At 37.3% G+C, this 27,003-nt stretch overlaps 1 protein-coding gene across 3 annotated transcripts in view; it reads left to right on the forward strand.

The window, feature by feature from the left end:
* The window catches only part of ELP4 (elongator acetyltransferase complex subunit 4), a 280,558-nt gene that overhangs the window by 59,821 nt on the left and 193,734 nt on the right, over positions 1-27,003 (forward strand). For all 3 annotated transcript variants that reach the window (NM_001288725.2, NM_001288726.2, NM_019040.5), the window contains exon 4: positions 25,183-25,314. In NM_001288725.2, coding sequence (NP_001275654.1) covers positions 25,183-25,314 — 132 coding nt within the window. The remainder of the gene's footprint in view (positions 1-25,182; positions 25,315-27,003) is intronic.

The raw sequence follows: 27,003 nt of genomic DNA on the forward strand, positions 1-27,003 counted from the left end.
ATGTTGGTGCATCCTGTAATCACAGCTATTCAGGAGGCTGAGGCAGGAGAATCACTTGAACCTGGGAGGCGGAGGTTGCAATGAGCTAAGATCACACCACTGTACTCCAGCCTGGGTGACAGAGTGAGACTCTGTCTCAAAAAAAGGAAGACATACAAATGGCCAACAAACATGAAAAAATGCTCATCATCACGAATCATCAGAGAAATACAAGTCAGTATCACAATGAGATATCATCTCACACCAGTCAGAATGGCTTTTGTTAAAAAGTCAATAATGTTTGTGGGATTTTGAAGAAAAGGGAATGCTTATACACTGTTGGTGGGAATGTAAATCAGTTCAGCCACTGTAGAGAGCAGTTTGGAGATTTCCCAAAGATCTAAGAGTTGAACTAACATCCAACCCAGCAATTCCATTACTGGGTACATACCCGGAGGAAAATAAATCATTCTGCCAAAAAGGCACGTCCATATGTATATACATTGTAGCACTATTCTCAATAGCAAAGACATGGAACCAACCCAGGTGCCCGTCAACAGTGGACTGAATAAAGAAAATGTAATACATATATACCATGGAATACTATGCAGCCATAAAGAAATCATGTCCTTTGCAGCAACATGGATGTAGCTGGAAGCCATTATCCTAAGCAAACTAACGCAGAAACAGAAAACCAAATACCATATGTTCTCATTTATAAGTAGGAGCAAAACATCAGGTACACATGGACATAAAGATGGGAACAGTAAATACTGTGGAATACAAGGCAGGAGAGGGAAGGAGTGAGGCAAGGGTTGAAAACTTCCTATTGGGCATTATGCTCACTTCCAGGGTGACAGTTTCAATTGTACTTCAGACCCCAGCATCATGTAATATACCTTTTTTTTTTTTTTTTTTTGAGATAGAGTCTCACTTTGTCGTCCAGGCTTGAGTGCAGTGTTGCGATCTTGGCTCACTGCAACCTCTGCCTGCTGGGTTCAAGCGATTCTCCTCCCTCAGCCTACCAAGTAGCTGGGATTACAGGCACCCACCACCACACCCAACTAATTTTTGTGCTTGTACTTTTAGTAGAGATGGGGTTGCACCATGTTGGCCAGGCTGGTCTCGAACTCCTGACCTCAAGCAAGTGATCCACTCGCCTCGGCCTCCCAAAGTGCTGGTATGAGAGGCGTGAGCCATTGTGCCTGGCCAAACTGTAAACTCTTTTTTTTTTTTTTTTTTTTTTTTTGTGAGACAGAGTCTCACTCTGTCGCCCATGCTGGAGTGCAGTGGCACCATCTCGGCTCACTGCAACCTCCACTTCCTGGGTTCAAGCGATTGTTCTGCCTCAGCTTCCCAAGTAGCTGGGACTACAGGCGCACGCCAGCACGCCCAGCCAATTTTTGTATTTTTAGTAGAGACGGGGTTTCACCATATTGGCCAGGCTGGTCTCAAACTCCTGACCTCATGTTCTACCTGTCTCGGCCTCCCAAAGTGCTGGGATTTCAGGCGTAAGCCACCGTGCCCAGCCCATGCAGTATACCTTTTTAACAAACCTGCACATGTACCCTCAGAATCTAAAATAAAAATTGAAAAGACAAACACAATGGGAATCAACCCCTCAAACTCTACCATTGCTTTATCAGCTAAGTATATGGAATATTCTAAATCCTTTGTTGTTATTTCAACAGTGTTCATAGCGCCTTCACCAGGAGTAGAATCCATCTCAAAAATAACACTTTTTTCTTGTCCAGAAGTACCAACTCCGTATCAATTAAAGTTTTCTCATGAGATGGCAGCAATTAGTCACATCTTCAGGCTCCACTTCTAATTCTAGTTCTCTTGCTCTTTCTATCACATCTGCAGTTACTTCCTCCACCAGAGTCTTGAATTCCATGAGGATTGGAATCAACTTCTCCCAAACTCCTGTTAATATTGATATTTTGACCTCCTCTCGTGAATCATGAATATTCTTATGGCAGCTAGAATAGTAAATCTTCCCAGGTTTTCAATTTACTTTGCCCATATCCATCAGAGGAATCACTATCTATAGCAGCAATAGTGTTAAGACATGTATTCTTAAATAATATGACTTGAAAATTGAAATTACTCCTGATCCATGGGCTACAGAATGGATGTTGTGTTAGCAGGCATGAAAACAGTAATCTCCTTGTACATCCTCATCAAAGGTCTTGGGTGACCAGGTGCACTGTCAGTGAGCAGTAATATTTTGAAAGGATTGTTTTTTCTGAGCAGTAGGTTTCCATATAGTGGGCTTAAAATATTCGGAAAACCATGTTGTTTACAGATGTGCTATCATCCAGGCTTTGTTGTTCTGTTTATAGAGCACAAGCAGAGTAGATTTAGCATAATTCTTAAGGGCCCTAGGATTTTGGAATGATAAGTGAGTATTGGCTTCAACTTACAGTCATCAACTGCATTAGCCCCTAACGGAGAGTCAGCCTGTCGTTTGAAGCTTTGGAGCTAGGCATTGACTTCTCTCTAGCCATGAAAGTCCTAGACAATATCTTCTTCCAATAGAAGGCAGTGTCATCTACATTGAAAATCTGTTGTTTAGTGTAGCCACCTTCATCACTTAGCTAGATCTTCTGGATAACTTGCTGCAGTTTCAACTTCAAGAATTGCTGTTTCACTTTGCACTGTTATGGAGAAGGCTTCTTTTCTGAAATCTCATGAACTAACCTCTGCTAACTTCCAGCTTTTTTTCTGAAGCTTCTTCATCTCTCTTGGCATTTAAAATTTTTAATTATATAGATATTTTTACTTCAGAATCAAATGTAATTAGACCCTTTGAAAAGAAAATACCTATGCCAGTAAACAGAGCCTCTAGACGAGGAAAGTAAAATGGATTTCACTTATATTCCTTCAGTTGCTCATTGTCATGTCACATTTTTAATTTATTTATTGTTTTTATGTTTGGCCTTTCATTTTCATTTGCTTATTCTCTCCCCAACATTTCTAATTTCGTTTTCATTTTCTGTTAGAGAGAGGATATGTTTATAGAGAGATTGTCTATCTATCTATCTGTCTATCTAAGATGTTACCAGTTTCTTATTTTTACACATTCTTTTTATTGAAGTCCCTTTTTATGTTGCTGAATTGTATATTAATGTAAAAAAGGTTTGTAGTAGGCCATGCACAGTGGCTCATACCTGTAGTCTCAGCACTTTGGGAGGCCAAGGCAGGAGGATCACTTGAGGCCAGGAGTTAAGTGACCAGCATGGGCAATATAGCAAGACACCATCTCTACAAAAAAATAGGAAAACAGTTAGCTGGGCATGGTGGTGCACACATGTAGTCCTAGCTCCTCAGGAGCCTGAGGCAGGAGGATCACTTGAGCCCAGGAGTTCAAGAAGGCTGCAGTGAGCTGTGTTTGCACCACTGTACTCCAGCCTGGGCAACAAAGCAAGACTCTGTCTCAAAAAAAGTAAGGAAGGAGGGAGAGAAGGGGGCAGGAGGAGGAAGGCAGGAAGATTGGTATGAATTCTTCCAAAGTATAATTTACATATAATTTTATCAATTTCATATACAATTCAGTGAGTTTGAGTAAATGTTCACAGTTTTATAACCACCACCATAATCATAACATAGAATATTTCCATCCCTTGAGAAATGTGCCTACATGCAGTCTGTCTCCCTACCACCACTTGACCCCTGGCAACCTCCAGTCTGCATCCGTATCTTTAGCATATACCTCAAAACTCTTCTAGCTCTCTACCCATTACCCAATTCCAAAGACACTTCCACACATTTAGGTATTTCTTGCAGCAGCACCCTACTTCTCGGTATCAAAATCTGTGTTAGTCAGCTCAGGCTGCCATAACAAAATACTATAAACTAGGTGGTTTAAACAACAGAAATTTACTATCTCACAGTTTTGGAGACTAGGAAGTCCAAGATCAAGGTTTCAACCAAGTCATTTCCTGGTGAGGGCTCTCTTCCTGGCTTGTAGACTGCTGCTTTCTCACTGTGTGTTCACATGACCCCTTCTTTTCACAGATAAAGAAAGAGCTCTTTCTGGTGTCTCTTCTTATAAGGTAATTAATTAATATAATTAATTACCTTTATTATCTCATTTAAACTTAGTTATTTTCAAACAACCCTTTCTCCAAATACCATCTCATTAGGGGATAGGACTTCAATGTATGGACCTGAGGAGGACACAAACATTGAGTATTTATCTCTTTTAAACTTAGTTATTTTCAAACACCCCTTTCTCCAACTACCATCTCATTAGGGGATAGGACTTCAATGTACGGACCTGAGGAGGACACAAACATTGACTATCTCATTTAAACTTAGATATTTTCAAACACCCCTTTCTCCAAATACCATCTCATTAGGGGATAGGACTTCAATGTATGGACCTGAGGAGGACACTAACATTGAGTATATAACAGTTGTTATGGATGAAAAGATGGCTAAGACATAGTCGTTGCCCTTAATGATCTCATAGAGGAATAGTTGAAATTTGAGGAGAGCTCATCTAAATAAACACAAATGAGGTATTTTTTGTATAGACTGTTTTGAAAAGTTGAGACTTCTAAAATCTTATTCTAGAAATAATGCTGAGAATGCTAGTAACATAAGAAGTCATGTGCTTTTTCAGCAGTCTGAGATCGAACTGCAAGGCAGCAGCGAGGCTGGGGGAGGGACGTCCACCATTGCTGAGGCTTGAGTAGGTAAACAAAGCCTCCAGGAAGCTTGAGCTGAGTGGAGCCCACCCCAGCTAAGGAAACCTGCCTGCCTCTCTAGACTCCACCTCTGGGGGCAGGGCATAATGGAACAAAAGGCAGCAGAAACTTCTGCAGACTTAAACCTCCCTGTCTGACAGCTTTGAGAGAGTAGTCGTTCTCCCAGCATAGAGTTTGAGATCTGAGAACAGACAGACTGCCTCCTCAACTGGGTCCCTGACCCCTGAGTAACCTAACTGGGACACACCTCCCAGTAGGGGCTGACTGACACCTCATACAGCTGGGTGCCCCTCTGAGACGAAGGTTCCAGAGGAAGGATCAGACAGCAACATCTGCCGTTCTGCAATATTTGCTGTTCTACAGCCTCCACTGGTGATACTCAGGCAAACAGGGTCTGGAGTGGACCTCCGGCAAACTCCAACAGACCTGCAGCTGAGGATCCTGACTGTTAGAAGGAAAACTAACAAACAGAAAGGACATCCACACCAAAACCCCATGTACGTCACCATCATCAAAGACCAAAGGTAGATAAAACCACAAATATCTGGAGAAACCAGAGCAGAAAAGGTGAAAATCCTAAAAATCAGAGCACCTCTTCTCCTCCAAAGGAATGCAGCTCCTCGCCAGCAACAGAACAAAGCTGGACGGAGAATGACTTTGACAAGTTGAGAGAAGAAGGCTTCAGACAATCGGTAATAATAAACTTCTCCAAGCTAAAGAAGGATATTCGAACCCATCACAAAGAAGCTAAAAACCTTGAAAAAAGATTAGACGAATGGCTAACTAGAATAAACAGTGTAGAGAAATCCTTAAATGACCTGATGGAACTGAAAACCATGGCACGAGAACTACGTGAAGCATGCATAAGCTTCAGTAGCCAATTTGATCAAGTGAAAGAAAGGGTATCAGTGATTGAAGAGCAAATGAATGAAATGAAGCGAGAAGAGAAGTTTAGAGAAAAAAGACTAAAAAGAAATGAACAAAGCCTCCAAGAAGTATGGGACTATGTCAAAAGACCAAATCTATGTCTGATTGGTGTACCTGAAAGTGACGGGGAGAATGGAACCAAGTTGGAAAACACTCTGCAGGATATTATCCAGGAGAACTTCCCCAATCTAGCAAGGCAGGCCAACATTCAAATTCAGGAAATACAGAGAACGCCACAAAGATACTCCTCGAGAAGAGCAACTCCAAGACACATAATTGTCAGACTCACCAAAGTTGAAATGAAGGAAAAAATGTTAAGGGCAGCCAGAGAGAAAGGTCGGGTTACCCACAAAGGGAAGCCCATCAGACTAACAGCTGATCTCTCGGCAGACATTCTACAAACCAGAAGAGAGTGGGGGCCAATATTCAACATTCTTAAAGAAAAGAATATTCAACCCAGAATTTCATATCCAGCCAAACTAAGCTTCATAAGTGAAGGAGAAATAAAATCCTTTACAGACAAACAAATGCTGAGAGATTTCGTTACCACCAGGCTTGCCTTACAGGAGCTCGTGAATGAAGCACTAAACATGGAAAGGAACAACCGGTACTAGCCACTGCAAAAACATGCCAAATTGTAAAGACCACCAATGCTAGGAAGAAACTGCATTAACTAACGAGCAAAATAATGAGCTAACATAATAATGACAGGATCAAATTCACACATAACAAAATTAACCTTAAATGTAAATGGACTAAATTCTCCAATTAAAAGACACAGACTGGAAAATTGGATAAAGAGTCAAGACCCATCAGTGTGCTGCATTCAGGAGACCCATCTCACATGCAGAGACACACATAGGCTCAAAATAAAGGGATAGAAGAAGATCTACCAAGCAAATGGAAAACAAAAATAGGCAGGGATTGCAATCCTAGTCTCTGATAAAACAGACTTTAAATCAACAAAGATCAGAAGAGACAAAGAAGGCCATTGCATAACGGTAAAGGTATCAATTCAACAAGAAGAGCTAACTATCCTAAATGTATATGCACCCAATGCAGGAGCACCCAGATTCATAAAGCAAGTCCTTAGAGACCTACAAAGAGACTTAGACTCCCACACAATAATAATGGGAGACTTTAACACCTGACTGTCAACATTAGACAGATCAACAAGACAGAAAGTTAACAAGGATATCCAGGAATTGAACGCAGCTCTGCACCAGGCAGACCTAATAGACATCTACAGAACTCTCCACCCCAAATCAACAGAATATACATTCTTCTCAGCACGACATCACACTTATTCCTAAATTGACCACATAGTTGGAAGTAAAGCACTCCTCAGCAAATGTAAAAGAACATAAATTATAACAAACTGTCTCTCAGACCATAGTGCAATCAAACTAGAATGCAGGATTAAGACACTCACTCAAAACCACTCAACTGTATGGAAACTGAACAACCTGCTCCTGAATGACTACTGGGTACATAACGAAATGAAGGCAGAAATAAGGATGTTCTTTGAAACCAATGAGAACAAAGACACAACATACCAGAATCTCTGGGACACATTTAAAGCAATATATAGAGGGAAATTTATAGCACTAAATGCCCAAAAGAGAAAGAAGGAAAGACCAAAAACTGACACCCTAACATCACAATTAAAAGAACTAGAGAACCAAGAGCAAACACATTCAAAAGCTAGCAGAAGGTAAGAGATAACTAAGATCAGAGCAGAACTGAAGGAGATGGAGACACAAAAAAACTTTTCAAAAAATTAATGAATCCAGGAGCTGGTTTTTTGAAAAGATCAACAAAATTGATAAGCCACTAGCAAGACTAACGAAAAGAAAGAAGAATCAAATAGACACAATAAAAAGATAAAGGGGATATCACCACCGATCCCACAGAAATACAAACTACCATCAGAGAATACTATAAACACCTCTACGCAAATAAACTAGAAAATCTAGAAGAAATGGATAAATTCCTGGACACATACACCCTCCCACGACTAAACGAGGAAGAAGTTGAATCCCTGTATAGACCAATAACAGATTCTGAAATTGAGGCAATAATTAATAACCTACCAACCAAAAAAAGTCCAGGACCCGATGGATTAACAGCCAAATTCTACCAGAGGTACAAAGAGGAGCTGGTACCATTCCTTCTGAAACTATTCCAATCAATAGAAAAAGAGGAAATTCTCCCTAACTCATTTTATGAGGCCAGCATCATCCTGATACCAAAGCCTGGCAGAGACACAACAACAACAACAAAAAAAGATAATTTTAGACCAATATCCCTGATGAACATCTATGCAGAAATCCTCAATAAAATGCTGGCAAACCAAATCCAGCAGCACATCAAAAAGCTTATACACCACGATCAAGTTGTCTTCATCCCTAGGATGCAAGGGTGGTTCAACATACGCGAATCAATAAATGTAATCCATCGTATAAACAGAACCAAAGACAAAAACCACACGATTATATGAATAGATGCAGAAAAGGCCTCTGAAAAAATTCAACAGCTGTTCATGCTAAAAACTCTCAATAAACTAGGTATTGATGGGACGTATCTCAAAATAATAAGCGCTATTTATGACAAACCCACAGCCAACATCATACTGAATGGGCAAAAACTGGAAGCATTCCCTTTGAAAACTGGCACAAGACATGGATGCCCTCTCTCACCACTCCCATTCAACATAGTGTTGGAAGTTCTGGCCAGGGCAGTCAGGCAAGAGAAAGAAATAAAGTGTGTTTAATTAGAAAAAGAGGAAGTCATATTGTCTCTGTTTGCAGATGATGTGATTGTATATTTAGAAAACCCCATCGTCTCAGCCCAAAATCTCCTTAAGCTGATAAGCAACTTCAGCAAAGTCTCAGGATACAAAATCAATGTGCAAAAATCACAAGCATTCCTATACACCATTAACAGACAGAGAGCCAAATCATGAGTGAACTCCCATTCACAACTGCTTCAAAGAGAATAAAATACCTAGGAATCCACCTTACAAGGGATGTGAAGGACCTCTTCAAGGAGAACTACAAACCACTGCTCAGCGAAAGAAGAGAATACAAACAAATGGAAGAACATTCCATGCTTATGGTTAGGAAGAATCAACCTTGTGAAAATGACTATACTGCCCAAGGTAATTTATAGATTCAGTGCCATCCCCATCAAGCTACCAATGACTTTCTTCACAAAAGGAGAAAAAACTGCTTTAAAGTTCATATGGAACCAAAAAAGAGCCTGCTTTGCCAAGACAATCCTAAGCCAAAGAACAAAGCTGCGGGCATCGTGCTACCTGACTTCCAACTATACTGCAAGGCTACAGTAACCAAAACAGCATGGTACTGGTACCAAAACAGAGATATAGATCAATGGAACAGAACGGAGCCCTCAGAAATAATACCACACATCTACAGCCATCTGATCTTTGACAAACCTGACAAAAACAAGAAATGGGGAAAGGATTCTCTGTTTAATAAATGGTGCTGGGAAAACTGGCTAGCCACATGTAGAAAGCTGAAACTGGATCCCTTCCTTACACCTTATACAAAAATTAATTCAAGATGGATTAAAGACTTAAATGTTAGACCTAAAACCATTAAAACCCTAGAAGAAAACCTAGGCAATACCATTCAGGACATAGGCATGGGCAAGGACTTCATGACTAAAACACCAAAAGCAATGACAACAAAAGCCAAAATTGACAAATGGGATCTAATTAAACTAAAGAGCTTCTGCACAGCAAAAGAAACTGCCATCAGAGTGAACAGGCCACCTACAGAATGGGAGAAAATTTTTACAATCTACCCATCTGACTAAGGGCTAATATCCAGAATCTACAAAGAGCTTAAACAAATTTACAGAAAAAATCAACCCCATCAAAAAGTGGGCAAAGGATATGGACAGACACCTCTCAAAAGAAGACATTTATGCAGCCAACAGACACATGAAAAAATGCTCGTCATCACTGGCCATCAGAGAAATGCAAATCAAAACCACAATGAGATACCATCTCACACCAGTTAGAATGGCGATCATTAAAAAGTCAGGAAAGAACAGGTGCTGGAGAGGATGTGGAGACACAGGAACACTTTTATACTGTTGGTGGGACTGTAAACTAGTTCAACCATTGTGGAAGACAGTGTGGCGATTCCTCAAGGATCTAGAACTAGAAATACCATTAGACCCAGCCATCCCATTACTGGGTATATACCCAAAGGATTATAAATCATGCTGCTATAAAGACACATGCACACATATGTTTATTGCGGCACTTTTCGCAATAGCAAAGACTGGGAACCAACCCAGATGTCCACCAATGATAGACTGGATTAAGAAAATGAGGCACATATACACTATGGAATACTATGCAGCCCTAAAAAAGGATGAGTTCATGTCCTTTATAGGGACATGGATGAAGCTGGAAACCATCATTCTGAGCAAAGTATCGCAAGGACAAAAAACCAAACACCACAGGTTCTCACTCATAGGTGGGAATTGAACAGTGAGAACACTTGGACACAGAGTGGGGAACATCACACACTGGGGCCTGTCATGGGGTGGGGGGAGGGGTGAGGGATAGCATTAGGAGATATACCTAATGTGAATGACGAGTTAGCGGGTCCAGCACACCAACATGGCACATGTGTACATATGTAACAAACCTGCACATTGTGCACCTGTACCCTAGAACTTAAAGTATAAAAATAAATAAATAAAAATAATATAAAACAACTAGAAAAAAAAAGTCATGTGCTTTTTGTGGTGTTGAATTTTATAGTGAATGCAATATGCCCCTTCACTTTGCAAAAAGAAATATCAAAGTTAATGGATGGAGGTAAGCAGGCTAGAGAGGTTGCTATTTTTTCTGTGTGATTTCTTTCCTGTAGTGTTACAACTCCCGCTTCAGAGAAGGCCTCTTGGGTTGGATATTCATTATCAAATACAGATATTCCAAATGAACTATCTTTGCCCCAAACACCAATTGTTCTTCCAGTCTGATTGGTTTTAGAAGCATACTACTTCATGGAAAAAGAAACATTTGAACCACTTTTCCTTAGAATAAATTTAGTATACTCTTTGAGACTTGATAACTTAATACTGTGAAATAGGAGGTTGTTTTCTAAAGGATCTAATATTAGTAGTAGGTGTTCCTTTTAATATTAATGTAAAAGTAAGTTTGGGGTTGGTGGGTATACATAGACCACTATCAGTTTATTCTTGTGGCATTTATTTGACTTCTTATTTCTGTACTGCCTTTTCCTTCCAATTTTTATGTTTATTACTGTCATTGCACAAAATACAAAGGTTCAGCTCTCATATAATACCATTCACACACCATACACACACACACATTCTCTTGCTGTCTCTCGCACACGCTGTCTCTCTTGCTCTCTCTCTTGCGTTTTCTCCTTCCCTATATAACTTTCTTCTTTTGTTTGTTTTTGAGACAGGGTCTTGCTCTGTCACCCAGGCTGGAGTGCAGTGGCACAGTCTTGGCTCACTGCAGCCCCTGCCTCCAGGACTCAAGAGATCTTCCCACCTCAGCCTCCCAAGTAGCTGAGACTGTAGGTGAGCGCCACCACCCCTGGCTAATTTTCGTATTAATATTTTTTGTAGAGACGGGGTTTTACCATGTTGCCAAGGCTGGTCTATCACTTTCTTTATTTCCCCTTTCAGTATATTTAATTCTTCTTCCCTAGTTAAGTCAGTATTAAGTGTGTACATGATGACAATTTCTTATTCAGTCAAATATTATACTATTTGACAGTCTATATTTCTCCTTTCTGATACATCTATTGTTTTTTCTAGAGGTAACAATTGCCTCATTTTTTATCTATATGAATTACGAATTCATCTCAAAACTTTCCACTAAAGTTTTCAAACTCCTCTTAAATGTATGTAAGTGTGAAACCCTTGAAATCGTCCATACTCCAACTCCAAATGGACAGCTTGCTTCCTAGGTTGTCTACACAGCTGTTATTCTGGCACTTTCCTTTATCATTCTAGCAACTGCCTTGACCTTGCTTCTGTGTAAGATGTCTTGTTTCCTGGATCTCTAGTGTTCATATGTATTAGTTCATCCCTTGTTTTGGTGCTATACATTGTCTAATAACTTGAGAGTGAATGGAGGTAGAAGGGAGGAGTGAGGTGGTAGAGATGTTTTAAATTTTGCATGTCTGATAATGTCTTAATTCCACTCTCAAATTTAACATTAGTGTTGCTGAACATACAATTCTAGATTAAAAATAACTTTGTCTCAGAGCAGTCCATTGTTGCTGTTATAAAGTTTGATGCCATTCATGTTCCTGACGTGTTCACACCCAACCTGAAGAAGCTATTTAGATTTTCTCTGTATTCCTTCTTGTTCTAAAACGTCAGAATTATATGCCTTGTTGTAGGTCTACTTCCATTCAGAGTTTATATACTCAGTAGAATTTTAAAATCTAAAATACCCTATTTCAGGGTGTCAACCTCCTAAACTATTCCTCTAAATGTTTTCTTTTTTCTCTCATGTTCTGTCTTTTTTTTTTTTTTCTTTTTAGACAGTGTCTCGCTCTGTCACCCAGGCTAGAATGCACTGGTGTGATCATGGCTTACTACATCCTCCACCCCCTGGCCTCAAGCAATGCTCCCACTCTGCCTTCCGAGTAGCTGGGACTACAGGCATGCCCCACCATCCCTGGTTAATTCTTTTATTTTTTTGTAGAGAAAGGATCTCACTGTTTTGCCCAGGCTGGTCTTAAATTTCTGGCCTCAGGTGAGCCTTCCGCCTTAGCCTCCCAAAGTGCTGGGATTACAGGTGTGAGCCACCAAACTTGGCCATTTTCTATGTCTTTAGAAAGCCATATAGGATGGTGGTGAAGAGGATGAGCTACAGAGCAAGACTTTCCAAACTCAAGTCCTGGGTCTGCTACTTAATTACTTTGCGACCTTGGACAAGTTAATTAACCTTTGTGTTTCAATGTCTTCATCTATATAAAATGGGTTTAATTCTTAGGATTGATTTGAGGATTAAATATGTTCATTTTCTAAGGTGCTTGGAATAGCACCTGGCAGAAAGCACTTTAAAACATACTAACTATATTTTTTTAAATTAGCATTGCTATCATCATTATTATTGATCTTTTATTCTGAGGGATTTGACCACGTTGATCTGGCAGTTCTGATTATTTTTTTCGCAAATCTGCTATTACATTTTTAATTTCTGCACACTGTTTTTTTCCAGATGTTTTCTTTTTACCAAATTATTATTCTCTTATTTTTTGTGCACACATCTTTTACAATAAATATTACTGTTTATTTTTGAGACTTTTTTTCTGCTCCTGGCATTGTTTTCATTTTCTGCTCATTTGTTTTAGTCCTTGAATTTCATATTAGATGCTTTTCTCAAATACCTAGTGATTCTTCTCTGTCCATTCATATTCAAGAGTGAGGGACTGAAAAACTAATTGTAAGTGCTGTGTGTTTGGGCATGAAACTTATGAACTAGTAGGTTTACTGTGAGCTTATGTAAAATAGCATCTCTCTAAAGGTCTTTTCTCTTAATTTTGCTGGTTTTTCCTGGGAGGAATCCTTTAGTCTCCCCATCTCTTGACTGTTCTGTTAAAGGATGCCTTCTGCCCTTCTGAAAGCCTTAGCAGTGGGAGGCAACTGTGGTGGGGGCGGGGTGGGGGACAGTGGAAGGGAAGAGGAAGTCCTTTCACCCCTCTATATGAAGACTTTCAAGAAATTATCCTATCTTCAAAGTGATGTCTCATCCCTTCCCTCAGCAGTGCTCCAGCTTCTGAGGTTTGTCTTGTTTGAACTTTCCATTTCTCTTGCACAGTTAGTTGGTGGAGGTAGGGGTGGGTAGAATCCTGACTCTTAGGGAAAAGTAAAGGATCTGTAGGTCTTTATGGTTCCTTTAAAAATTTTTCAACCAACCCTTCTGTTTTCACACAACTGTTGTTCTTTGCTTGCTGAAGTTGCTGGTTTGTTTTCTAAGTTGCCAGTTGTTATGATTTGTTAAAGCCATGTATGTGGTAGAATCTGTGATGTTTACTATATTATTCTCTATTCTTTTCTGCATGTTTTCTACATCTCATAGAAAAAAAAATTTGAGATGCAAAGGATGTTTATGTTATAAACCACGTTTGTTGTAGCATTTTTGGATTGCAAACAACCTAAATTTCTAACAGTAGAGAAATGATAAACTCCACAAAAGATTAAAAAGAAAATAATTAGCCAGGTGTGGTGGTGTGCGGCATGTGGTCCCAGCTACTCAGGAGACTGAGGCAAGAGGATTCCTTGAACCCCAGAGTTCAAAGATGTGGTGAGCTATGATTATGCCACTGCACTCCAGCCTGGGCCACACAGCGAGACTCCAACTCAAAAAGTAATAATAATAAAAATAAACTACTGAACTACTGATTTTCATTTTAAACAATTAAGTGTGATGCTTCTTCAAAATTCTGGTTGATATAAGTGAAAAGTGTGTTATTGACAGTTGTAAAACTTCATATAGTAAACAATTTAAAGTGTTAGGTAAATAAATAAATACATTTCCTATTTTCTATTCTAGAACTGACCAACAGAATTTTCTGTGGTGTTGGAAATGTTCTATTCCAGAACTGTGAAATAGAGAAGCTATTAACTACTTTCGACTATTAAGCACTTTGAAATGTGGCTAGTGCAGTTGAGATTAACTTTTTCGTTCATTTAATTTTAATTAATATAAATTTAAATTTTAATAGCTAGAAGCTAGAATGTTGAACAGCATACTTCCAGACCAATGGTTTCATAAATAATGCTGATATGTTTTTATAACTGAGATTAACAAACTAATTTAGATCATAAAATGTTTTAATTGGTATCTAGGATCTTTTCTTAAATGCAGAAAAAGGCAATTGGGAAAAATAAGTTTTAGACAATTGTACATGAAAACAAATAGATTTTGCAAGCTAGATATAAGTTAATTAAATTTAAGTATTTATAATATTTTATTAAAATACTTGTTTACTTTCTCATTTCAGAAATAAAATTAGTTGTTCTCCACCTTGAGGATAGGGCTGTGGGGCAAAGGAAAGGTTGAGAATATCAAAATCTGGAAACCTTTTCCTTTACATTCTACAAGTTTTATTCTGCTCCCACAAGGCAATAAAAAATATTGATATGATTTTATTATTAGCAGTAACATTAATATGATTTTATTGTGATTTATTTATTATATATAAAGGCAGGAAAATAATAGAGAACCAAGAATGTAAGATAACTTTAAAATAATTTATAATTTATAGTTTTTTTGTTTTGTTTTGTTGTTGTTGTTGTTTTGTTTTTGAGACACTTTTGCTTTTGTTGCCCAGGCTGGAGTGCAGTGGCATGATCTCAGGTCACTGCAACCTCCACCCCCGGGTTCAAGCGATTCTCCTGCCTCAGCTGCCCAAGTAGCTGGGATTACACGCACCCGCCATTTTTTGTATTTTTTTGTATTTTTACTAGAGACGGGGTTTCGCCGTGTTGGGCAGGCTGGTCTCAAACTCCTGACCTCAGGTAATATGCCCACCTCGGCTTCCCAAAATACTGGGATTACAGGCATGAGCCACCACGCCCGGCCAATTCGTAGATTTTATTCAGAGGTAGAATGATGACCACCAATGAATATGAGTAAGTAGGCAGTTTTTATATAGTTAAAATGTTCTAAACAGAATGTCCAGTTAGTTCCCTTATGGTACTGTAATGAGTATTTATTCCTCTACTCTTCACATTCAAATTTTTTCTAAAGTATATTTAAGAATTACTACATTTTAGGTATTTTAGGGTAAGATATCAGAGTAACAGATATGGATCATAGGTCTCTCCTACATTATGAAACAAAAAATAATTTTAAATACTCCAAAAAAATCAGTTGTGACAAACAAAACAAGAAAAGTCAAGGTTCAACCTAATGCCATAAATGTATAGAGTTTGTCATCATTTGGTGTGGTTCAAAACTTCACTGTCACATTCAGAAATTAATTAGGATAATCTTAAGAATTAATTAGGGCCAATTGTCTCAAATTTAAACAAATGTTTCACAATGCAACACAGATTTGGAGATAAAATCCAAGACCTAATAATGTACCACCTCCTGAATGGGAACCGAATACTCACTGAGGCAAATGATGTTAACACAGGAACCTACATTTCATGAAATCTCACAAGAGAATAAAGAGCCTGGGTATTATTAAAAAAAAAAAAAAGATTGCACTTAATTTTGCCTAACCTCTTATAACCTGAAGTTACAGAATAATGAGTGACTATCAAAATCTTCATTCGTCAAGCTTTAACTGGAAGAAAAACACATCAATCTGAAAGAAAACGTAACCCAAGAACACAAGGAAATTCCTCCGTAAGAGATTTATAGAGGAATTTAGTAAGAACATGAATTCAAGAAAATAAAATCACAAAGATAAAATGATAAAACATGAGTAGATAAAAAGAATAATTGCATAATTAAAAGTACAAGTTGACTTAACATCATTACCCAGTAAATTAGCAGCAGTAACAGGCTTATGATAGTTGAACTGAAGTTAGAGAAGAGATTAAAACATTAAGTGAGAAGACCAGGCATGATGGCTCATGATTGTAATCCCAGAGCTTTGGGAGGCTGAGGTGGAGGGATTGCTTGATTTCAAGACCAGCCTGGGCAACATAGCAACACCCTGTCTCTACAAAAAATTTAAAAATTAGCCAGGATTGGTGGCATGTGCCTGTAGTCTCAGCTACTCAGGAGGCTGAGGTGGGAGGATCACTTGAGCCCAGGAGTTCAAGGAAAAAGAAAACATTAAATGAGAATATGATTACAATGTGGGAAATTTTTTATTTAATAAATTTAAGTAGATAGTGGCTACTGTATTGGACAGTGCAGGTATAGAACACCTTCAACATCACAGAATGTTCTGTTGGTCAATGATGGTCCCGACTTCTGGGAAAATACTCATCTAACAATAAATTGTTTACTGCGTGAAGTTTTACCACTGTCAAACATATACCTAACATTTATATCAACAAAGATATATTCTATTTTAATATGGAACAGAAAAATAAATGTGAAATACAAAGACAAAGTTTTACTTGGAAATAAGGAAAAGGAGAATCAGCTCAAGAAAGCATCCGTTTTACAGGTGTTGGGGAAGGAATAATATAAAGCAATGGATACACGTATAGCCCATGTAAGTTGTTGAAGGAAGAGTTTTTCAAGAATTCATGCAGAAAAAGCAAGTCATCTACAAGGATGGAAGTCTTCAGACTTCTCTCCAGCATCGGTCTTTGTCCAAAGACAGCAGAGCACTGGCCACCTATTTCTAAGCAAATGAAAGTATTACAAAATATTATATACAACCACAGTGTTACTCTAGTATTTTTAATACCAGTCAAATTTTGTATGTTTTTTGGTTTTTTTTTTTGAGACAGAGTCTTGCTCGCTCTGTCACCCAGGCTGGAGTGCAGTGGCGCAATCTCGGCTCGCTGCAAGCTCCGCCTCCTGGGTTCAACGCCGTTCTCCTGCCTCAGCCTCCCGAGTAGCTGGGACTACAGGCACCGGCCACCACGCCCGGCTAATTTTGTATTTTTAGTAGAGACGGGGTTTCTCCATGTTGGTCAGGCTGGTCTCAATCTCCTGACCTCGTGATCCACTTGCCTCGGCCTCCCAAAGTGCTGGGATTACAGGCGTGAGCCACGGCGACCGGCCAAATATTTTTAAACATGAAGAAACTCCATGATCTCTCTTGAAAAAAATAATCAAAAATATAATCTATCTACCTTGTCAGGGAGAGCTTCCTTTGACTACCCTATTTTAAGTAATGCCTCTCCCCATTACTCTGTATTCTTTCCCTCTGTTTTCTTAGAAGTTCCTATCGCTGCCCTTCTAGAATATAACTTCATGAAAGCAGAGACTTTCTTTACTCTGTTCACTGCTCTATTCTTAGTGCCTTCCTGACTGTTAAGTAAATGCAGTTATCAACTAAGGTAACTCAAGAAAGGTGGACCTGTTTTAAAAGGACCAGTGGTGAATGAATCCATGTTAACAACCTAAACTAAGTAACTCTGTGTCTGGTTACAGACTAGAATGTAAAACGTTATAAACCGTAACAGCACTGAAGTAATAGGGGGGAAAAAAACGAGATTTGAGGGAGAGGAGTTAAGAGAAAGTAAGTGCTAATTTCCTCATGTTTTAGAGAAGGGGAAAAGGAAAGAGAAATTGATTTTGTTGCAAGCTGAAAAGTGTAAAAAGGAGCATACTAATGCCAACTTCTTACTGTGCTCCAAAATCATGTTATTTATCTTAGGGGAGAACATGTTGAGAAATAATCTCTCTTGAACTGAAGAATTGTTGATCAGTTCAATAGTTCTTTAGTTCTTTCCATTTTACTTTATTTTTGTTTTTTTCTATAAAGTGTTAATATTAATTATTGATATTTTATTATGTAATACTATTGTTATGGTAATATTTTTCTAGCATATTTATGGGTAAGTGTAAACTGGAAATGTTGCTTACTTAATGTTACAATGATTGTCCGCAGGGGGTTTTGGCTTTTAAAATTTTTTAGCTTTCTACATTTTTAAAGATAGCTTTAAAAACTAAATATATTTATACCATAGTGTAATTAACACCACCACTGATAATTAACAAAATTATTTTTTTATTCATGTTTTATGTATGCACAAATATTTTTTGTAATAAAAGCAACAGAACATTATAGTTGATAGTTGAAGTCTTTTATTTTCCTTCCTATTCTTCAACTATAATGCAAAATTTGACGTATTTCTTTCCAAACTGTTTATATACTTTTAAAACATATATGTTTCTGTATATGCTTTGTGGATTTTTAAAAATTTGCATAAACTATCATATTGTTTATGTTATACTCCACATGATTTTTTGATTCAACATTATTTTCCAGATCTTTCCATTCTATTTCATATCAATCTTATTCTTTTTAATAATATGTTTATATAACAGTTTAACCATTTCCTATTGATAGATATTTATATTGTTATTAAAATGCTCAATGATGATTCTTTACTTCTTGGGGCATGTGTATGAGGTTTTTTATTCAGGAGTAGTTGGTAGGATATGCACATTTTCAGCTGAAATTTTTCCAAATTGTTCTCCAAAGTGGTTTTTCAGTAGTAAAACTGGTAAACTCCTAACTTCCCACCAGCAGTGAATAAGACTTCCAGTTTCTCTGGTCTCTTAACAACTTTGGTATTTTTAGATGTTTCATTTGTTTGCTTGCCGGTATAATGGGTGGGAAATAGTAACTGGTTTTAAAGCACATTTCCTTGATTACTAATTCTTCTTTGTACTTCTCCGCGTTGTTTGAAATTGTTTTTTTTAAATTATTATTTTTTAAAAATTCCAGGATATATCGGCTGAAAAACTTTTATGTTTTTCAAAATGATGAAATGAACTATAAGTTCAATATTTTGCAGTAAAATAACATATTAAGGTTGGGCACAGTGGCTCACGCCTATAATCCCAACACTTTGGGAGGCTAAGGCGGGCAGATCACTTGAGGTCAGGAGTTCAAGACCAGCCTGGCCAACATGGTAAAATCCGATGTCTACTAAAAATGTAAAAATTAGCTGGGCGTGGTGGCGCACACCAGTCATCCCAGCTGTTCAGGAGGCTGAGGCATGAGAATGGCTTGAGCCCAGGAGGTTGAGGTTGCAGTGAGCCAAGATCACGCCACTGCATGCTAGCCTGGGCAACAGAGTGAGACTCTGTCTCAAAAATAATAATAATAATTAAAAAACAAATAACATATTAAATGGAAAACATGTACCTCACATTATACTGAGAAAGAATTGCAACATAATAGGGATAGAGAAAGATTAGCACATGAAACATAAGGAGCCCAAAGAAAGCTGTGGTATTAATTCCCTTGAGAATAACACAAAATTGGCCCACTAAGATTGTTCCAGGAAGTTTCTGTGGTTCATTTCACTAAGCATCTCTTGAGTATCTTCTTTGTACTTCTTACGGTGCTCATTTTATAACAAGGTCAGAATATATACATTACCATATAGTCCCTACCTGTCAAGAAATTTATAGCCTTTATTGGAAAATGAGATTATACATACATGAAATGTCGAAGAATATCAAGCTGCATATGATCCAGTACCAAAATGTTTGGCACAGATGAAAGTGAAATGGGAATTCAGAAAAGAGAGAGCTATATATAAATATGGACAGTAAAGATCATCTAGTGCCTCTTTTATGTACTCCTTTTTTACTGTACGATAAGTCTCATATATGCATTTGAAGAATAAAGCAAGATTAAATTACAGAACCTTGGATTCTTCACATACCTGAATCTCTTAACATTAGTGCTGTTTCTACTATGTCAAGATCTGGGCAATAGCATAGATATATTTCTGAAAGATTATAAATTGTATATAGATGATACCACATCTATGTGACAAGTTCTATAGTAGTATATTTTATAGAATTTCAACTAATTATATATAGAATTGTCTCCATCAGTTTTGACCTTATCAGAAAGGCCATCCTTTACTAAGTTTATTAAAATGGAGTCTTTGCCTTCTTACTTTGCTCCAGTTCTACACTTGTCCACAAAAAACATCTTTATCAGTGTTAAACTTGGAATCATTATAATTTTTATGATACATTATTATCATGTGACCTATTATTTATTTGTTTGTTTATTGTTTTACTCCATAAATAGAATGAAAGCTTATTATAGAAGCAATATAGCATGGTGGTTAAGAGCACACACTCTGGAATCAGACTACCAACTGGCTTCAGATTCCCAGCTCCATTTTTTACTAGCTCTGTGGCCTTGGACAAGTTACTTAACTTCTTTATGTTTCAGTTTCCCATTATGTATTAAAAGTAATGGCAAAAACCGCAATTATTTTTGCACCAACCTAAAAGGCAATAATAATAGTACCTACCTCATAAGTTTATTATCGAACACTGAATTAACATATCTAAAGCACTTAGAACTGCCCTGAATAGAGCAAGTACTATATATATATATGTACTCTTGTTATTGTTACTAAATTTGTTCACTGCTGTGTCCACAAAAAACTAGACCAGGACTTTGCATATATTGGTACTCAATAATAATTTCAACATAACTGATACTTCAGTCTTATAAAAATATAAGAACCCCTACCTCACACAGTATATAAAAATTCACTTTCAATGTATCAAAGAGCTAAATTTAAGAATTAAAATCCTTAGAAGAAAACATAAGTATAAACCTTCGTGACTTCGAATGAGGCAACAATTTCTTAAATATGACACCAGAAGCACAAGCAGCAAAAGAAAGAAACAGATAAGTTGGGTGTATTCGGCCATTCTCAAATTGTTATAAAGAAATGCCTGGGTAATTTATGAAGAGGTTTAATTGGCTCACAGATCTGCAAGCTGTACAGAAAGCATAGTGGCTTATGCTTCTGAGGATGCCTCAGGAAGCGTCTAATCATAGCAGATGGCAAATTGAGAACAGGCATCTCACATGGGAGGAGCAGGAGCAAGAGAGCAAGCAGGAAGGTAGTTCACACTTTTAAACACCAGAACTCATTATTGCAAGGACAATACCATGGGGTATGATGTTAAACCATTCATGAGCAATCCGCCCCCATAATCTGTTCACCTTCCACCAGGTCCCACCTCCAACAATGGGGATTACACTTCAATATGAGATTTGGATGGAGAATACATCCAAACTGTATCATTGGGCTTCATCAAAATTAAGATCTTTGGTCCATCAATGGACGCTTCCAGTGTCCAAGGAGAAAATATTTGCAAATAATATATTTGATAATGTCTACTATCTAAAATAAATAAAGTAGTCTCACAACTCAACAAAAAGATAAACAGCCCAATTTAAAAATGGGATAAGGGCCAGACACAGTGCTCACGCCTGTAATCCCAGCACTTTAGGAGACCAAGGTGGGTGGATCACAAGGTCAGGAGATTGAAACTATCCTGGCTAACATGGTGAAACCCTGTCTCCACTAAAAATACAAAAAATTAGCCAGGCGTGGTGGTGGGTGCCTGTAGTCCCAGCTACTCAGGAGGCTGAGGCAAGAGAATGGCATGAACCCGAGAGGTGGAGCTTGCAGTGAGCCGAGATGGCACTACTGCACTCCAGCCTGGGTGACAGAGCGAGACTCCATCTCAAAAAAAAAAAAAAAAAGGGGGGGGGGGGGTATAAAACCATGATAGACATATTTCTAAAGAAGAAATACAGATGGCCAACCCAGCACATGAAGTTATGCTCAGTATCATTGTCGTTAGGAAAATGCAAATCCAAACCGCATTGAGATACCACTTCATCCCCACTAGGGTAGCTATTTAAAAATAATAATAATAATAACAACAATTGGTTGCTAAGAATATAGAATAAATGGAACCCACGTACATTGTTGGTCGGAATGTAAAATGGTGCAGCCACTGTAGAAAACATTTTGGCAGTTCCTCAAATAGTTAAAAATGGAATTATCCTGTGACTCGGGAATTCCACATCTAGGTATATACCAAAGACAGTGGAAAACATGTTCACACAAAAGTTTGTGTGTGAATATTTACAGCAGCATTACTCATAATAACTTAAGAATAGAAATGATCCATGTACGTCAGGTGATGAGTAGTTAATGTGGTACATACATACAATGAATAGTATTCGACCATAAAAAAGAATGAAATACTGAAACATGGTGCAACATAGAGGAACATTGAAAACATTACTCTAAATGAAGGAAGCCAGACACAAAAGGTCACGTATTGTATGGTTCCATTTATAGGAAATGTCCAGAACGACTAATCCATAAAGACAAGATTAGTGGTTGCCAGGGGCAGGAGAGAAGGGGAATGTGGAGTGATTTCTAAATGGGTGTGCAGTTTTTTGGGGGACTGATGAAGGTAGATAGTGGTGATGGTTACACAACTCTGAATTATTAAAAATTACCAAATTTTTTACTTAAAATGTTGTTTTTATGTTATGTCAATTTTATTTCACTTTAAAAAATATATAAAGAGTTGGGAGTGGTGGCTCACGCCTGTAATCCAGCACTTTGGGAGGCCGAGGCAGGCAGATTGCTTTAGCTCAGGAGTTCAACACCAGCCTGGGCAACATAGTGAAATCTGGACTACAAAAAATGCAAAAATTAGCCAAGCATGGTGGCATGTGCCTGTAGTCCCATCTACTCAGGAGGCTGAGGTGGGAGGATCACTTGAGCCCAGGAGGTGTGTGTGTGTATATATATATGTGTGTATATATGTGTATATAATATATATATGTATGTATATATAATAAATCTTATAACCTATATATGTATATATAAGAAACCTTATATATGTATATGTATATATAAGAAACCTTATATCCTTTACATAGGCATTAATTGATAAAGTGTATTTTCTGTACATCTTTTGAAAATGAGTGCCTTATCAGTATTAAACTTGGAATCATTATAATTTTCATGATACATTAAAAGTTTTTAACATGGTAAAACGTCTATTATGGGAATAGATACATATTTAATAACTTAAATGAGGAAATGCTTACCTATATTTTATAGTCTCATCTTGTTTAGATAAGTTAAACATATTAATGAATCTCTAGTATTTTAGGGTTATTTCTCTAATATTGTACACATTAATGTAAGAGCATTTCTTAGAATTGGCCTATTTTCCACAATAAGAGGACAGTGTGATATAAGTTATTTTTCAAATGTTTTTATTATTAAGTTGTGAGTAACCATTGTTACAACTATTGCCAGGTGTCCCTGGGGTTGAAAAAGATGTTAAACCAAATACATTATACTAAATTTGTTGCCCAATATTGACAATACAAAATGTGTGGCTCTGAGGACAATTGTTTGACTGACTTCTCACAATCTAACATTTGTAGGATTCCTAACATGTAGCAAACATCATTCTCTGTATTTTACATTTTTAACTTATTTACTCCTTACAACAACCCATTGAAGTGAATAATACTGTTGTTGTTGTTGTTGTTGTTGTTGTTGTTGTTGTTGTTGTTAAGACAGGGTTTCACTTTGTCACCCAGGCTGGAGTGCAGTGGCATGATCTTGGCTCACTTTAGCCTCAACCTCCTGGGCTCAAGCGATCCTCCCCTAAGTAGTTGGCACTACAGCCATGTGCCACCACACCCAGCTAATCTTTTTGTATTTTTTGTAGAGATGGAGTTTTGTCATGTTGCCCAAACTGGTCTCAAACTCCTGAACTCAAGTGATCCCCCCCTACCTTGGCCTCCCAAAGCGCTAGGATTATAGGTGTGAGACACTGCACGCAGCCTGAAGTAAATACTATTACCTCCATTTTTTAGATGATGAATGGAGACATAGAGAGGTCCTGTGGTAACACAGACACAGCTACTAGTGCAAAGTCAAGATTTGAACTGGACATTCTAGTTGCCGAATTCAAACTCATAACCACTATGCTGTATTACACTATACTCTCACAAATACGTATTTCCACTGGAAAATGAAGTTACTTTATACTGTAAGATACTAATGCTTAGCTAGGAATGATGGATTCACAGCTTAAATGATATAACTAGTTTCTAAGACTAGCATTAATTAAAATGTGAATTCACTTTGAGGTCTTTTAGAAGGTGAGTAAAATATATCATATTAACAGTTAATGTGTTTTGAGCTGATTTGTCGACATGATTCTAAGCATAAGTAAATTTGATCTTGAAAAGTAGAAGTTGCAATTTAGACTAATATATAACATAGCACACGTTATATTTACTAATCCAATGCCCTACATTATCTTTATGATTCTAATAGAAAATAAAACAAAATTATTGTATGTGCTTTCCTTCTTCAAGAAACTTAAATACAGTTTTCTTTGAATTCTTTCTATAGTACCGCTTAACAAACATGTTTTCTAGTTTTTTATGTATTTTATGGTTATGAAGTTGGTCACCTTCCAAAATTAATAAATTGTAACTTACTGTCTCTTCATTTAATCAGAGATTATTGTTAAAGAAGAGACATAAGCTTGCAGGTGCAAAGCTAGCATTTGATGTAGGTAAAATAAATGTCATTATTCTTAGTTGTTACTTCACTCGTTATTTTAGTGAATTGCTTTTTTGAATTCTAAAATTACAAACCAATAAGCAGATTGTGCAAATGTTTTATTTTTACCTTGTGGCCAACATAATAATAATTATATGGAATACATAAGTACTAATTCCAGACTTTGCTTTAAGCAGATACGTTTTGAGAATTGAGTATAACCTCTTGTTAGAATGGCAATTGATTTTTGTGAGTATAGAAATTTGGATATTTTCTTTAAATTCCAGTTTATTGCTAAAAAGTTAAACTTAAATGTTTGTATTATACTTGTTTTCTCTGTTTTAGAAATGTCTATTTTTATGAATTTGTATTTAAATCAATGTTAGTCATGAATTTTCAATACATTGGAAATTTCTAGTGTTGCTAATATTATGGTTTAAGAAAATTGTCATATTTTACCACAGAATCTCAATTATGTGTCATTTTGTTTTCTTAGGAACTTCCAGCACCATTACTTGATGATAAATGTAAAAAGGAATTTGATGAAGATGTATACAATCATAAAACACCAGAATCTAATATTAAGATGAAAATAGCTTGGCGTTACCAGTTATTACCCAAGATGGAGGCAAGTAAACATACAAATTCTTTCCAAAATTTGCAAATGCATTTGTTTTCATCTTACAGAATCTCTTGTGGTATGCCTATATGTGTATTTGTTTATTTAAAGAATTAGCTGTTTCATTTGTAGAGTATTTGGTCAAGATGATCTATTTCTTACAAATAAAATCTATGGTAACTTGTTTTTTACCAAAATAGGTTGTTTCATTTCTTCCATAATGCCCATATAGAATGCTTTATTCTAGAGTTGCAAGACAGAGTAAGTGAACTAATGAAGCCATTTCTATCCAGTATGTTTACCTATAAATATTCAATGTAAGTGATGGTTCTTTGGAATTACTATTTTTATCCTTATACATTTTCAATCATTACATTTTCAAACTCATCTATCTGGTAATGTCATCTATTCAGAACAGACAGAATAGGTAAGAAATGAAGGAAAAATTTCTGAGAAGTCAGAACAAATGCCAATAAATCTGTCCAGTAAAACTCATGAACTCTATTCCTGGTGATGGCATGGTTCATTTATTAGCTCCCTTATTTGATTGTTCACTTCATTCACTTTTCAGACTACATTATTTAACATCTATCAGATATTAGCATACTAGTAGAAAAGAAAGGAATATTCTAATCTGAATAAGACATAGTTTCCTTTGTCCATCCTTCTCTAGTCTTCCACATTGACATCAGTGTTATCTTTCCCAAGGATAGAAATATGTGTATGATACCTTTAACTTCAAATGCCTCATTTGGTTTCCTGTTTTCACTACCCCCTTCTAAATAAATAGCAGACTGTAGTACCCTCTAATACTATGCTGCCAAACTCAGACACAGCCTTAGAATTCTTCTCTACAGGAATGTTCTGGGTAGCCGCTACCACTAATGAAAGTTAGTATATGGGATCAAACCTGTTTGATATTATAAGCTCGCAATATGAAATACAAATTTAAGATTGTATGTATACAAAATCTGTATAATCTAATCCAAGCCTACCTTTTTAGCCTCTTCCTCCTGTGTATATAAAACACTACATTCAACTATCTTTTGAGAATTGCTTCTTATAAATTGCTTGTATTTCTTTTAGTAATGCTTTTTTCACTTTCTTACTCACCAATGCATCCTTCTCCAAGTTCAAATGTTACTACCTCTTATGGCTTTCCATACTAATTTTCTGCTTTCCTTTTTCTCCCTGTAGCACTTCATATATTTTAAAATACATCTTTCTCTGGGTTGGGTGCAGTGGCTCACGCCTGTAATCCCAGCACTTTGGGAGGCCGAGGCGGGTGGATCACAAGGTCAGGAGTTCAAGACCAGCCTAGCCAAGATGGTGAAACCCCGTCTCTACTAAAAATACACAAAAATTAGCTGGGCGTGGTGGCGGGCGCCTGTAATACCAGCTACTCAGAAGGCTGAGGCAGAGAATTGCTTGAACCTGGGAGGTGGAGGTTGCCATGAGCTGAGATCGTGCCACTGCACTCCAGCCTGGGCGACAGAGCAGGACTCCGTCTCAAAAAACATGTATATATACATCTTTCTCATTGTTTTATACTTAATTGGTAGTGTAACTCTCTCCTCCACCACACAGAAAATTTTCTGTGAGGCAGAGAGCTTGTTTTATTTTCTCTTGTACCTCCAGCACTTATGCTAATGCTCTTTTAATCAATAATAATGATAAATGTATTTATTCATTCAGTCA

This window comes from Homo sapiens, chromosome 11 (genome assembly GCF_000001405.40).
Source record: "Homo sapiens chromosome 11, GRCh38.p14 Primary Assembly".
Lineage (NCBI taxonomy): Eukaryota > Metazoa > Chordata > Mammalia > Primates > Hominidae > Homo > Homo sapiens.